General features: G+C 44.6%; 1 long non-coding RNA gene and 1 pseudogene across 1 annotated transcript; one reads left to right on the top strand and one right to left on the bottom strand.

Moving 5' to 3' along the window:
* On the top strand, positions 2540 to 3303 carry LONRF2P4 (LONRF2 pseudogene 4; annotated as a pseudogene).
* LOC112268154 (uncharacterized) lies at positions 3738 to 5621 on the bottom strand. Its single transcript, XR_002957733.2, has 3 exons — positions 5343 to 5621; positions 5165 to 5253; positions 3738 to 4450 (listed from the first exon to the last, which is right to left on the bottom strand). It is a non-coding gene; the product is annotated as an uncharacterized LOC112268154 (long non-coding RNA).
* Positions 5622 to 14771: the final 9150 nt, after the last annotated feature.

Genomic DNA, 14771 nt, shown 5'->3' with positions numbered 1-14771 from the left:
TATGCCCTCTATATTGAAGGACCTAAATATATAAAACAAATGTTAATAGATCTAACAGGAGAAACAGCAAGCAATAAAATAATAGTAACATTCTACTTTCAGCAATAAACAGATTATCAAGACATAAAATCAACAAAGAAACATCATATTTAAAGTGAACTCTAGACCAAATAACTTAGCAGTCATTTACAGAACATGTTATCCAACAATTGCATAATTCACAGTCTTCTCTACTGCGCATGGAACATTTTCCATGATAGATCATATACTAGGCACAAAATGAGCCTTAGCAAATTCAAAAAAAAATCAAAATTATATCACATCTTTTCTGACAATATAGAATAAAACTAGAAATAAACAACAAGAACTTCAGAAATTGTGCAAATACATACAAATTAAACAACGTGCCCCTAAACAAACAATGGGTTAAAAAATAAATTTTGTTTCATTTTAAAAATTCTTAAGACAAATGAAAATGAAATCAGAACATATAAAAACTTACGAAATACAGCAGAAAAAGTCCTCAGAGGGAAGTTTGTAGAAATAAATTTCTATATGAAAGAAAGAAAACTCTCATTAATAATTTAAGAATGCATTTCAAGGAATTATAGAAACGTGAACAAACTTAGCCCCAAATTGGTAAAAGAATATAGATAATGAAGACCAGAGCACAAATAAACAAAATGGAGACAAAAATATGAAAGATCAATGAAATAAAAAGTTATTTTTTGAAAAGATAAACGCAATTGATATATCTTTAGTCAGATTAAGAAAAAAGAGAGAAGATTCACATAAATAAAATGAGAGATGAAAAAAGACATTAAAATGGTTACTACAGAAATACAAAGAATCATGAGAAAGTACTAAAATTATATGCCAATAAATTAGAAAACCTAGAAGAAATAAATACGTTTCTGAACACATATAACCTATCAAAATTGAAGAATTAAGAAATACAAAATGCGAACAGACCAATAACAAATAAAGAGATTGAAGCATTGTCTCTCAATACAAGAAAATCTGGAGGGCTGGCACAGTGTCTCACACATGTCATCTCACACTTTGGAGGCCAAGGCAGGAGGATTACTTGAAGCCAGAATTTCCAGATTAGCCTGGGGAACATAGTGAGACCCAGTCTTTACAAAAATAAAAATAAAAATTATCCAGGTTTAGTGGTGTGCACTTGCAGTCCTAACAACTTGGGAGGCTGAGGCAGGAGGATCACTTAAGACCAGGAATTTGAGGCTGCAGTGAGCTATGATTGCACCACTGTACTCCAGCCTGAGTGACAAAGAAAGACCATGTCTCTAAACCAAAAATATTTAAGAAGAAGAAGAAAAAGAAAGAAAGAAAGAAAGAGGAAGAAAAGAGAGACAGAGGGAGGGAGGGAGGGAGGAAGGAAGGAAGGGAGGGAAGGAGAAGAAAATAAAAATCGAGGATCCAATGCTTATACTGCTGAATTCTTCAAAACATTTAAAGAGGAACATATACTAATTATTTACAAACTGTTCCAAAAAAAGTGAAAAGGAGGAAACTCTTCCAAACTCATTCTATGAAGATAGAATTACCTTATTCCAAAATGCGACAAGAACAGTGAAAAACTAAACTACAGGCCAATATCAGTGATGAACATAAATGCAAAAATTCAAAACCAGCAATGCTAGCAATCATAATTTGAAAGCACATTAAAAAGATGATTCACCATAATCAGGCTGTATTTGTTCCAGGGAGGCAAGGAGGGCTTATGATATATAAATCAATAAATGTGATACACCACATTCGATAAGGTAAGATAAAAATCATATAATCATTTAAATAGATACAGAAAAAGCATTTGACAAAATTCAATGTTTTTTGTAAACATAAGATCTCTTAACAAATCAGTTATAAAAAGAGTATAACTCAATAAAATAAAGGCCATATGTGATAACCCACAGCCAACATGATACTGAATAAGGAAAAATTGAAAACTGTGTCTCTAAGATCAAGAACAAGACAAGGATGTTCACTTTAATAACTTCTCTTCAACATAGCACTGGAAGTCCTAGCTAGAGCAATTAGAAAAGAGAAAGAAAAGACATCCAAATTGAAAAACAAAAAGAAAGTCAAATTGTCCCTGTTTGCAGATGACATAGATCATGTCATATGTATAAAAGACCCTATACTGAAAAACAGAAACAGTAAATGAATACAGTAAAGTTTTAGAATACAAAATCAGCATAGAAAAATCAGATGCATTTCTATACCCAACAGCATACTATCTGAAAAAGGAATCCCCATTGAAAATAGCTATAAAAAAAATGCCTGGCAAAATAAAGACGTCTAAAATGAAAACTATAAAACATTGATAAAAATCAATTGAAAAGATACAAGTAAAGACAAGGTTATCCCATTTTTTGAATTAGAAGTGTTAATACTGTTAAAATGACCATCATACTCAAATCAATCTATAGGTCCAATACAATCTCTAACCAATTTCCAATGTAATTCTTCACGTTCTGCGGATGTTAAAAAGATTTTTAAAACCGTTTTTTTGGTTCTGCAGGCGAAGGCTGTGGCCGCGCTCCCGCCGGCCAGTTCCCAGCAGCAGCTCATCGCCCCTGCTCCGCGCCTTCGCTCCAGGCCCGCAGGGTCGCAGCCCCGCGAGAATCAGCACTGAGCCGGTCCCGCCGCCGCCGCCCCAGTGTCGGGCTGCTGCTGCGGGAAGCCAATCGCCCACCGCTTGGAGGAGGGCGACGAGGCCTTCCGCGCGAGCAAGTACCAGAAAGCGCCGGGCTCTTCCGCTCCATGCTGGCCCTGCTGGCGCAGCCCGACCGCGGCCGGTGCCTGAGGCTGGGGGACGCGCTGGCCCGCGCCGGCCGCCTCCCGGTGGCCCTGGGCGCGTTCCATGTAGCCGGGAGGTTGGAGGCGCTGAGTCCGGAGGAGCTGGGGGAGCTGGCGGGCGGCCTGGTGTGTCCCGGCCTGCGCGAACGGCCACTGTTGGCGGGGAAGCCTGGCGGCGAGCTCAGGGCTAGGGAGGGCCGGCCCTGGCGCCCGGCGCGCCCCGCGACCTGCTTGGCTGCCCACGGCTGCTGCACAAGCCTGTGACGCTGCCCTGCGGGCTCACGGTCTGTGAGCGCTAAGTGGAGCTGGGGCCCGCGCGGCCACAGGCGCGGGCGCGTGAACGTGGTGCTGAGCCGCCTGCTGGAGAGGTGCTTCCCGGCCGAGTGCCCGCTGCGCAGGCTGGAGGGTCAGGCGCGGATCCTGCAGCGCCAGCAGCAGCCCGAGGCCGCGCTGCTCAGGTGCGACCAGGCCCTGGAGCTGTGACTTGGCTGTGGGGCTGGCCCGCCTCCCTGGCCCCTGTCAAGCCGAGCGGCTGGAGCTAACCCGCGGGCCTGGGCTTTTGAGCGCTTTGTCCAGGCGTAGGGGGTCACTTTGCTTACTAATGATGGGAAGGTGAAAGGTGGGGGAGGCCACTCCCTGCAGTCAGGGTGGCAGGTGTCAGAGGCCACATGCAACCCACTGGTTTTGTCTTTTCTAGGATGCTGATAAGTTTCCCGCGGCCCCCGGAGCAGCTCTGTAAGGCCCTGTAGTTGCCTTTCATTCCCTTCTGCTCTATTGAGGAGTGGGAGGATGACAAAGTGTTTTTGCTCAACCCGAAGGAAAATGCACATGGGAGGACACACCGGGTTACTATTTGAGTAGCCCAGGCAAGAGACCAGCGGCTGCTTCAGCCATGAGACCACCTCAGGCCAAAATAGCCTTGTGGTTGTTTTACTTCTTTTCACCAAATGGGTCTTTTTGGGGTTTGTGGCATGTCCCATGTAATGATGATCTCTTGGTTCCCCTTTCTCATTCACACCCGGGAGCTGAGGTGGGGTGGGGGAGTGGGGGGGGAAGGGGAGTGGCCACCTGCGCCAGGTATGAGAGAAGCCACACCTGAGACCAGCCCCTCTGTCCTCCTGCCTCTGCATGCAGCGTCCCTGCAGGAGGCAGAAGGGGTGAAAAGTAGCCTCGATGTGAAAGTCCTTGTGTGTCCCTGAGGGGGGAAGTAAGTCACAGTCGGGACACTGGTTCCTGTCACTGGGTGCAGCACAAAGAAGGACCCCAGGACATGCGGTGCAGACGGGAGCACAGAGAGGGTGAGTGCTACTGGGGTGCACAGGCAGCTTGAGGAGGATGGAGATGGCAAACTTCCCTTTGTCACACCAGGTCCACGTTCAGGGCCGGAGGACCACCAGATCCCCAAAGCCTCCGGTGCTTCCGAGGCAGAGGAGAGGCAAAGCCGGTGGCCCCCTGCGTCCAGGGACCTGGCAGCCACCACTGAGGCCCACCTGCTTGTCCCTCAGCCGGGTGCCCACTGGCAGCCACACTCCAGGTCTCTGGGCTCTGCCCAGGACGTGTGTTTGGGCTTCTCTCCCCAGCAGAAGTCATCAGCGTACCCTCTGCATCCCACGGATTTGCTTTGTTTCTGAGGGAATAATTAAGGAATGTTAGTATGATATCAGAAAATAGCTAATTATGGTGAAGAGCTAACAGGGCAATCTGGGAAGCTGTGGAGCTCTAGTTAGTGATGACAGAAGAGGAACATATTTGACTGTTTTGTGCTACACCCAGGTTCTCAGGAGGTGGCCAGGGAGGAGACTTGGCACTGTGCCATGCTCAGAGCCCCTAGTCCCAGGGACTGTTTCCCTGTGGGAGTTTGGATGAGAGGCAGTTGGCTGGGAAGCTCAGGATGGAGTGAGGAAGGAGAACGACTTGAGGTGCTTGGGTTGGAAAGATCTAGTACCCCAGGAGGGACTGGCTGTGGCCTGCACACACCCCAAACTCACACACTCTGTCATGCTCACACAGACACGCACACACACTCATGGACCCAAGCTCACACACCACACTCACATGGCTTATTCACACACTTACACACATTAACACACATATGCACTCATATTTACACATCCGCACACAGTTATATTCCACATACACACTCATACTGCCAAGTTCAAACACCACTATCACACATTTCTTCACAAACATTCACACAACTCACATACACACTCTCACACATGTACACACTCACCTACCCACTCTCCATTACACACATTTACCTGTCCGTTCTCACACACATGCACAAACACAAAGCCAAATTAGAGCCATTTTCCTGGTCCCACACAAACAAAAATGATACCTCAGTTTCTTGATCTTGACCAGAATTGGGCACATGATTCCATCCAACCACAAGGTGGGGCGGGAATGAAATCCTATCACGTCCTCAGGCTGTGGAGAAAAAAAACTATGTCAGGCCTCTCTAATGCCTCCCACAAATGGGCAGGAGGGATTGAAACAGAAAAGGGGTTCCTCCTGACATGTGGCATTGATGGAGCCTGGTTCTGCCTCATGCCAAGCCCTGCCTTGCCCCTCGATGATGGAAAATGGTTGTGTGTCTTGTTTCCTGGCCTCCATCTCTGTCTTGGTACAGAGTAGAGACTTGAGTCTCAGTTCCAAAGACAGGAGTCCCGCTGAGCTGACCCGCCCACTGACAGATGAAGTCTTGCCATCTGCTGACCAAGTTCCCCAAGGCCCCTTGAGACTCAACTTCTGAAGAGGTTCTGCTCAGAATTCCCCGTCCCCATGATCTGCCCGGCTGTCGGGACACTGGTGAGCCTGCTCAGTGGGGAGTCCCTTTTCAGCTCAGTCAGCAAGTGGCTCTTCTCTATAAAGAGGCAGGGGATGAACCTCCTCTCTAGTTTTAGCAGAAGAGGCCATGAGACCCATGGCAGAGGCCAGAGCTGTGCAGGCTGTAGGAGGTACCACGTCAGGGATTTCAAACGGAGGAAGGTACTTTCCAGAGAGTACTGCAGGGAACCAAGCCATATCCACCGTAGCTGCAATAAAAACTCTGAGGCTCAGCTTAAACTCAATCCTAGAAATGATGTCCCAGCACAAACTTTGCAGGATAAGCAAAATCTAGAGAAGAGAAAATGCAGACCCAGGCAATGATAAACACAAGTCATCGGGACCACCACGGAGCAGATACAGTGCCTTCTCCACGTGCGGTGAATGAGGTTCTCACGTCTGTTAGTGTGTGGAATTGAACATCAATATCAGAATCATTCTGTGTTACCTACAACTGGTTTTATGTTGTTATGCCTGTCTCCTGATGACTGTGTATCTTTAGCCAACCTTTTCACCCCAAAGCTCCTGCCCCAACCCCTCCTCCTGGAAGTGCCCATCTCTGGTCTCGGCAGGAGGCTGTTCTTCCCAGCCTGTGGGGTGGCCACCTTGCAGGCTGTAACCCTCTACAAGAAATAAAGTCTTCTCTCCTTTTCTAAATTTCGATATTTGCTTAATCCTTAGCTTCTATTTTTTCAAGCTTTTAAACTGCTTTTAGGTCATGGCCTCTTCTCTGTAGGGTCTGGAGGCTGAGAGATGTCCAGCAGGAAAGAACTGCTAACTAATTCCAGTAACGCTGCTCTTCTGCCTAACGGAGGTGTTTAAATGTTGATTTTGGCAAAATCTATGAGCAGGTTGCTCCCCCTCTCCCGAGATCTCTCACAATACTTTGTAAAACCCAATTTAGCGCATTGTCTGGGAGGGCAGCTTTTACTGGTTCTGCAGCGATCTTCCTTACTCATAATCTATTGAAATATTGTAAAGCGATGCAGATTTGTGGCATGTGAGGAGAGCATGTAGACACACACTCCGCTGTGATTCAAAGTGCCCTAACACCTTCCTCTCCCCTACAGGCTGTGATAGGAGGGTGCTCTGGGTCACTGAGGAAGGGGAGTCATAAAGGAGCAGAGGCCCCCCGTCGTGAGTGCCATCTCTCCTTGAGTGTGGCCTCTTGTTCTAGCCCACAGGCCCACCATGCCCTGACTAAATGCTCGCACTGCTCATACATCCACTTTTAAAAATTGAGTTGAACATGAGAACATGATCATTCATGTTTTATCCATTTGCATGTATTCAATACCATCCTTTCCTCATCTCTGCTTTACCGCCTTTTCCTTTAAAGAATGAATGTTTCCATGTTTTATATCCACAGAATTTCTGGTCTTTCCCTTTGGAGCCCAAGGAGCAAGGGCAGAATGAGGAACATGATGTTCCTTACAGACAGTTACTCATGAGGCCACAGCACAGAAACTGCAAGAAATGTCAGTCATGAAGTGTCCCAGTGCATTTTAAATTGATGGTTATTAAAAATCCTTCTTTATCTATAGGGGATCTAAAAAAATTAAACAACTCATAATTTAAACACAGTTGCCAGGTAACCTGAGTCAAAAATCAGGAGAGGCTCCGTGGTCTGAAGTCTCCTAGTGCTCACCTTGGTGACGTTCTAGTTGCCTAACGGGTTGGTGTAATGACGTCATTCAACACAAGCAAAACACAACTCCCTTGGAGTTGTTCAAAAAATCAGGAAATAGAAAAAAAAATAAGGGAGAATAAAATATTGACAGGAGAGAAAAATGAAGAGTTACTTGGAGATTTGAAGGAGGTGAAATGGGCAAAAAGTAAATTTAGCAATTAGAATTTAAAGTCAGTGGATAATTAAGTCGAATAATTTATTCTTATGTCCATGTATTTTGGTTTTAAAGTTTTGATTAATACTCACTCAACACTAATTTCTAACAAATTAGAATATTCCCATATTGACTATTTTTACCAGTGAGCTTGTAATAAAGATCCACCAGTAATTTTAGTACACCATAACCTTTCAAAAGAAGCCCATAGAATAAACTAATTTTTAAAGAGCCACATTTTATTCAATGTCTATTTATACATGTTACTAGCAATAAACTCTTTTATCTTTAATTTTGAGAAGCTTTACAAATACAGAAAAGTAGAATGACTAATAGAGCCGGTAGCCAGGACTCAGATCGGAAAAATAGGTCTAATCGGTTGTTACACTGTGTTTATGTCATACATTTCACTTATTTTTATCAAATAAAAATTAGAATTTATAAAATGTTGATTAAAAGGAAAACATTCTGACTAAAGTTTAGTCCTGTGTTTCTTCCTCCAAATCTCTTTGTTCTACACTAACAAGTCAGGATAAGTATGGATGGGGAGGCTGGAAAAGGGGCATCCTTCCCCATGAGGTCCCCAGAGCCACCTTCTCCAAGCAGAACTTGGGGAACATCCTTCTCCATCCAGGACCTAGGGGGCATCTTTTCTCCATCCAGGACCTGAGGGGTGTCCTTCTCCACCCAGGACTTGGGAGGTGTCTTATCCACCCAGGACTTGAAGGGGATCCTATTCCATTCAGGAGTGGGGGAAATTCTTCTTCATCTGGACTTTGGAGGCATCCTTCTCCATTTAGGACTTGGGGGGCATCCTTCTCTATCCAGGACTGGGGTTTGTCCTTCTCCATATAGGACTTGGGGGGGCATCCTTCTCCATCCAGGACTGGGGTTTGTCCTTCTCCATATAGGACTTGGGGGGCATCCTTCTCCATCCAGGACTGGGGTTTGTCCTTCTCCATATAGGACTTGGGGGGCATCCTTCTTCATCCAGGACTGGGGGGTTATCCTTCTCCATTCAGGACTGGGTTTGTCCTTCTCCATGTAGAACTAGGGGGCATCCTTCTCCATTCAGGAATTGGGGAGCATCCTTCTCCATCCAGGACTTGGGGGACATCTTTTTCCATCCAGTAACTAGGGGGCATCCTTCTCCATCCAGGACTGAGGGGGGCATCCTTCTCCATCCAGGACTTGGACGACCATCTTTCTCTATCGAGGACTTGGGGGACCATCCTTCTCCATCCAGGACTCAGGGGACATCATTCTCCATCTAGTAACTAGGGGGCATCCTTCTCCATCAAGGACTAGGGGGCATCCTTTTCCATCCAGGACTGGGGGGCATCCTTCTCCATCCCAGAATTGGAGGGCATCTTTCTCTATCCAGTATTGGGGGTCATCCTCCTCCATCCAGGACCTAAGGGGTGTCCTTTTCTGCGCTTCCATGGATGGCAGCCTTGCCTGTGCAGTCATTCAGAAAGTCAGGCTGACACATGTTGTCGTCTTGAACTCTGGCATCTCATCTCTATTCTAGGTGAATGCCTTCATGTTTATAGTGATTTACCATTAAATCACTGTGCTGTTTTTCCCTAAAATATATGGGGCGTGTTTTTTGTTCTGACTTCTTTCAGTCCTTTGGTCCCTATCTCCGGGTTTTTGTAATTTCTTTTGCAACCTAATATGGGTCCCATTTGGTAAGTATTACATATACTAGAAAGTGATGTACATTCAGCATTTGTTGTGATTTAAAACCTTTTATAAACACATAACATCTTTGTCTATTTCCCATTTAAATTCAGAAGTACGAGTTCCAGTGTCCCTCTCTAGACCTGCTCTATCCTGTTAGTTTCTTTGTATGTCCTGGAGGTGAGGCCAGCATTGGACTTGACGTTGGTTCACCTACCCGGTTCTATGGTCCCTCCATGTGCAGTGTCAATCTTGTTGTTTATTATTTCTTCCTTAAATTTTATTTAAACTAAAATTAATTTTGTGATAGCAGCTTGCTTTCTGTGAATATTTACTTAAAATTTTTATAAAATATTTAATTTTTAATTTCTTTAATTTGAAAGTGCTGCTTAGTTATTGATAATTTTGTATTTTAATATATGAGGTTAATCCCTCTATGTTTGGTAGGAAAAAGTGATATATTTGAACTTATTTCTATCATTTGATTTTTGGATTTTGTATTTGCAAAGCTTTATCCTCAATTCTCTTTTCCTTTTTTCAGATTTCTTTTCTTTTCTTCTTTTTTTTGGGGGACAGAGTTTCGCTCCTGTTGCCAAGGCTGGAGTGCAATGGGAGATCTTGGCTCACGACAACCTCTGCCTCTCGGGTTCAAGCAATTCTTCTACCACAGCCTCCAAGTAGCTGGGGTTACAGGCATGCACCACCATACCCAGCTAATTTTGTATTTTTAGTACAGACAGAGTTTCTCCATGTTGGTCAGGCTGGTCTCGAACTCCCAACCTCAGGTGATCCACCCATCTTGGCCTCCCAAAGTGCTGGGATTACAGGCATGAGCCACTGCGCCCGGACTTCCAGATTTATTTTCAATCAATGTTTCATTTTCCACTTCCTTCCTATGCTGGCTTGTAGGTTTTCCAGGCTATTTACCTTTATTTAGTGTCAAAAATTCTTTTGGGAACTTTTGAGTTGTCAACCAATAGTTGTAAGCATATTGGATATTGCTGTTTTTCTCCCAGTGCTCTGGTTATAATCTCTCCTATTAATACCTTGTAGTCTTATTGTTGTAGTTTTTTTTCTATTAATTTCTGAGATATAAGAATTAGAATTGTCAAATTGTGGATTTATGCATTTATCATTTTAATTCAATAACTTTTGCTTCATGTATTTTGTTATTTTTCTTAGGTGTATGCATGCTTATGCTTATTAGGTTTTCTAAGCAAATGGACTTATTAGTATAAAACATCCTTCTTTATCCCTGGTGATGCTTGTCTTTCTTGTAGTCTGTCTTATCTGCCATTAATACACTGGCTGCAGTTTTTGATAACAAAGATTTGCATAGTGTATATTTGTCCATCTTTTCAGTTCAAATCTATTTATATCTTTATCTCATAAGTGTATTTCGTTTTAAAAGTGGTTATTGAGGTTTCCTTTTTACTTATTTTGACAGTCTCTGTTCCGCCTTCCTCATCTTCTTCTGGATTATGGTAGTTTTGGTTTGTTTGTTTGTTTTATGGGGTTTTCTTTTTGTTTTTTTTTAGTATGGATTTTGTACCTTGTTTTTTTTTTAACTATGACTCTTTGTTTCATTTATTTATTTTTGGTGAGTTGTTCAGAAATTAAAATATAAATACTTAATGTATATTAAATATCATAACACTGTATATAAAATATAAAAACCTTACCTTACCATCCTCTCATCTTTTGTGCCATGTTGTCATAGATTTTTCTTTTGTACATGTTGTAATTCCTGGAGGATGTCATTAAAACAGTAATTTCCCCTCCACATATTTACTATTTTTGGCACACTTTCATCTTTTCTGTGAAGTAGAATTTCCAACTGTTATTTTTCTTCATCCTGAACAAGTTTATTTATTGGGGTTTGGGTGTGATGGCAACACGGTCTCTCAGACTTTCTTTAACTGAAAATACTGGGTATATACCCAAAGGACTATAAATCATGCTGCTATAAAGAGACATGCACACGTATGTTTATTGCGGCACTATTCACGATAGCAAAGACTTGGAACCAACAATGTCCAACAATGATAGACTGAATTAAGAAAATGTGGCACATATACACCATGGAATGCTATGCAGCCATAAAAAATGATGAGTTCATGTCCTTTGTAGGGACATGGATGAAATTGGAAATCATCATTCTCAGCAAACTATCGCAAGAACAAAAAATCAAACACCGCATATTCTCACTCATAGGTGGGAATTGAACAATGAGAACACATGGACACAGGAAGGGGAACATCACACTCTGGGGACTGTTGTGGGGTGGGGGGAGGGTGGAGGGTTAGCATTGGGAGATATACCTAATGCTAGATGACGGGTTAGTGGGTGCAGCGCACCAGCATGGCACATGTATACATATGTAACTAACCTGCACATTGTGCACATGTACCCTAAAACTTAAAGTATAATAATAATAAAAAAAAAAAGAAAATGTACTTTTCTCAACTTCAGTTCTGAAGGCTGCTTCAGCAGGTTCAGAATTCTAGGGACACTTTCGACTTAGAATAGCATGAAGTCTCTGCTTAGCAATGATCTGGGCACCATCGAACATATTACTATATCCAGCTGTGTCAAATCTGTCATCGGCCATAGAACGCTTTGACAGGTGCTTCTTGTTGCTTAAGTTCTAAGTATTTCATAGTCTTCAGAGACATGGAGAAGTAGCAGTGCTAGTAACAGTACCAGTAAAACCAGGTTAAGCCCTAAAATAATTAAGAAGCCATTGCATGCACACACGTGAACGTTTGACTTCAGCTACAATGCTTTCAAATGTACTATTTTAACTTTATACAAGGTCATAACACAAATTAAAATTTTAAAAATACTTTCACTTTACATATGTGAAAACTGCAGCTCAAAGAATTTAAAAGACATGACTGAAATCCCATAACTAGGTAAAGATGGTCTAATCTGGAGCCCGCATGTCTTGGTCCCCCCACGCCCTGTTACAGAGAGTGCGAGGCTTCACCAGGAAGCTCTTTTGGCTCAAGGATTAGCTCTGGGGAGGTGCAGCAGGCAGGCCTGCTTTGCATCCTCTTTACAGCAGAAATCCAATGTTTGTTCATGTTTCTAGTTCTTTTTGTTTTGTTTTGTTTCTTACCAGCATGGCTCTGGGAGTTATTTACACAATTTAATTTTAAAAGAGACAGTCCCCATCATTAGGATTCCTTGGAAACTTATGCAAAAAAAAATAAATAAATACTGATAGATGATAAACTTCTGCAAAATTGGGATATGTGTAATATATCTAATTGTAATGAAAGAAACATGTGTATCACAGTAATAATTTAATTTATTACTGTCATTTTCTTGCCAGATTTGAGGGCAATTTTTTTAAGCTCTCCACATGTGGTTTACTGTGGACCAAACACTGGCAGCTTCAGGCTTACAATCTGCTGACAAACCCTTCTCAGTTCCTTCATTTGAAAAATGTGAGCATGCACTGCTCATGTGCCTGGCAAGCACATAACTCACTCAGGAGAAGGACAGTGGCCACTCAGGTCATCAGGTGAACTTGTGACGAGGCCATCAAGAGGCTGCACGTGAGCTCCAGAAAATGAAATTCCCACTATCAAGCTATTCCCCATTTCCACCCAATGCCCCCGCCCCTGCTCCAAAGCAAAGTCTCCACCTCTTAGGAATGCTTGATTTTCAGTATTGCTGAACAGGGGTCAAAGAAAACAAACTGAACAAAGACACAAATGAAGCCTTTAACACAGGGAGCAAAGACACAGCACCTCCCCACTCTGCAACAGCTCCAGAGCTGCACAGCTGCTGCCAGAGCCTGAGCACAGGCTGAGCTCTGGCCCGTGGATCTCACCAATGCCTTTCTTCCCTCTGTGTCAAAAAAAGTATCCATAAATAGGATTCATTTACTCGGGACATAAAATAATGTATACCTACAGTTTCGTCCCAGAACTGTGTAAACCGGCATGCTGTCTGCCACAATACAGTCCTCACCCTGCATCAGGAGCTCAGATGGGGGAAGCTGGCAGGGCTGGAAGCCTGGGAGTCACAGGTGCTTGGAGGAGACAGAAAAGCACCACAGAGAGCCAGGCCCTGCCTACAAGTCACATGTTTAGGGGTCTGGTTGTCTGGGCAGGCTGGGAGATGCTCTCTAAAGGAAATGCAAGAAATATTGCCCCACATCTCCCACCACCAAACAGGAAGTGCAGGTGGTCAGCCCCAGGGCTCACCTGCTCTTTGCCAGGGTCACGAGTCAGGCCCAGGCTGCGCCCTCCACACAATCCTCAAGGGGACTTCCTGCCAGGCTGGGACAACTGCACGGGGCCCTGATGCCCTGGGAAGGACAGGGTTGCATTTAACAGAAACAGCTAAACCTGAAGGGATGAGCTTGCCTTTCCCCGGGGCCATGGGATGGTTTATAGAAAGTTCTACCCATCAGGACAAAGACCTCACATGACACCATCAGAGGAACTGATTTCACACCACAGAGGGAGGAAGAGGGCACATGCCATAGGTCTGCTGGTCACAGCACACACACACTCCTGGGAGCTTCAGACCCAGCAGTGGTGGCTCAGGTGCCAGGTCAGGATGTGGGAGGACACAGTGTCTGGGTGAATCTGTCACCTTTGCTAGCTGCCTTGTCCCACCAGGTAGAAGATGTGGCAATGGGAGCACAGCAGTAGGAAGCCCAGTGTCCCCCAACCTTCCACCTCACAGCCAGGACCTCTGAGGGGCATCTATATCCTGCATATCTAGGCTCTGAAAAGCAGGAGGCCCTGGTTTCCACAGTTGTGGGGCTTCTAGCCAGGGCTGGGCCAGGTTCTCTGAAAAAACAAGCTCCGGGTGCTGCTTTGTCCTCAGGCTACTCCTCCATGGGACCTGCAGGCAGAAAAATGGGTACCACCTGGACCGTGGTGTTAGCAGAAGCAGGGCTGTGCTGCCTGGGGAAGGAGGGGCTCCACGCAAGTACCTCCCGGTACACAGCATTTGATGGCATGTGGACAAGTGCGGGAGCCCTAGACCAAGGACTCTGTGGTGAGCAAGGCTCAGGACCCCTTAGGGGTGAGGGCCTGGGTTACACCACCAGGGGGTCACCAGGACCCTCAGCAGAAGGTGGAGGGGGTGGCAATCATTACCTGTGCGACCCTGAGATGGGTGGCAGCCACAGAACCTAGGGTTCATTGAACCCACCTTTTGTAACTAGTGCCCAGGAAAAGGCCTAGAATTTAATAAAGACGAGGCCCCTGTCAGTGGAGTGCTGGATGGGGCGCACCCCCTGGGGTACACCTGAACCTCCCCCAGGGCCTTGGCTGTGAGCTTTGATTGTAGACATACTTATGCCACGGCCCCTTCAGACTGCTCCCTTCACCTCTGAAAAATCAGACAGGATGCTTCTGTTCCTGGAAACATGAATGCCCTTCATGTGTTTTTTACTTTGACTAGAAACTCATCTGCAACCGAAATATATGCAGAGAACTCATGTGCTCCCAAGGTTTCCAGGCATCTCTGAGAGTTTGCTTCTCAGTTCCCAGGTGTGACAGCTCCAAAGCAGGTGCTGCTGGTTTCTCATCTCAGTGTATTTTAGTTCCCTGTGGACAGCATGTT

This window comes from Homo sapiens, chromosome 15, assembly GCF_000001405.40.
Source record: "Homo sapiens chromosome 15, GRCh38.p14 Primary Assembly".
NCBI classification, from domain to species: domain Eukaryota; kingdom Metazoa; phylum Chordata; class Mammalia; order Primates; family Hominidae; genus Homo; species Homo sapiens.
Note: the sequence above shows the minus strand (reverse complement) of the source record. Positions and strands in the feature narration are given on the sequence as shown.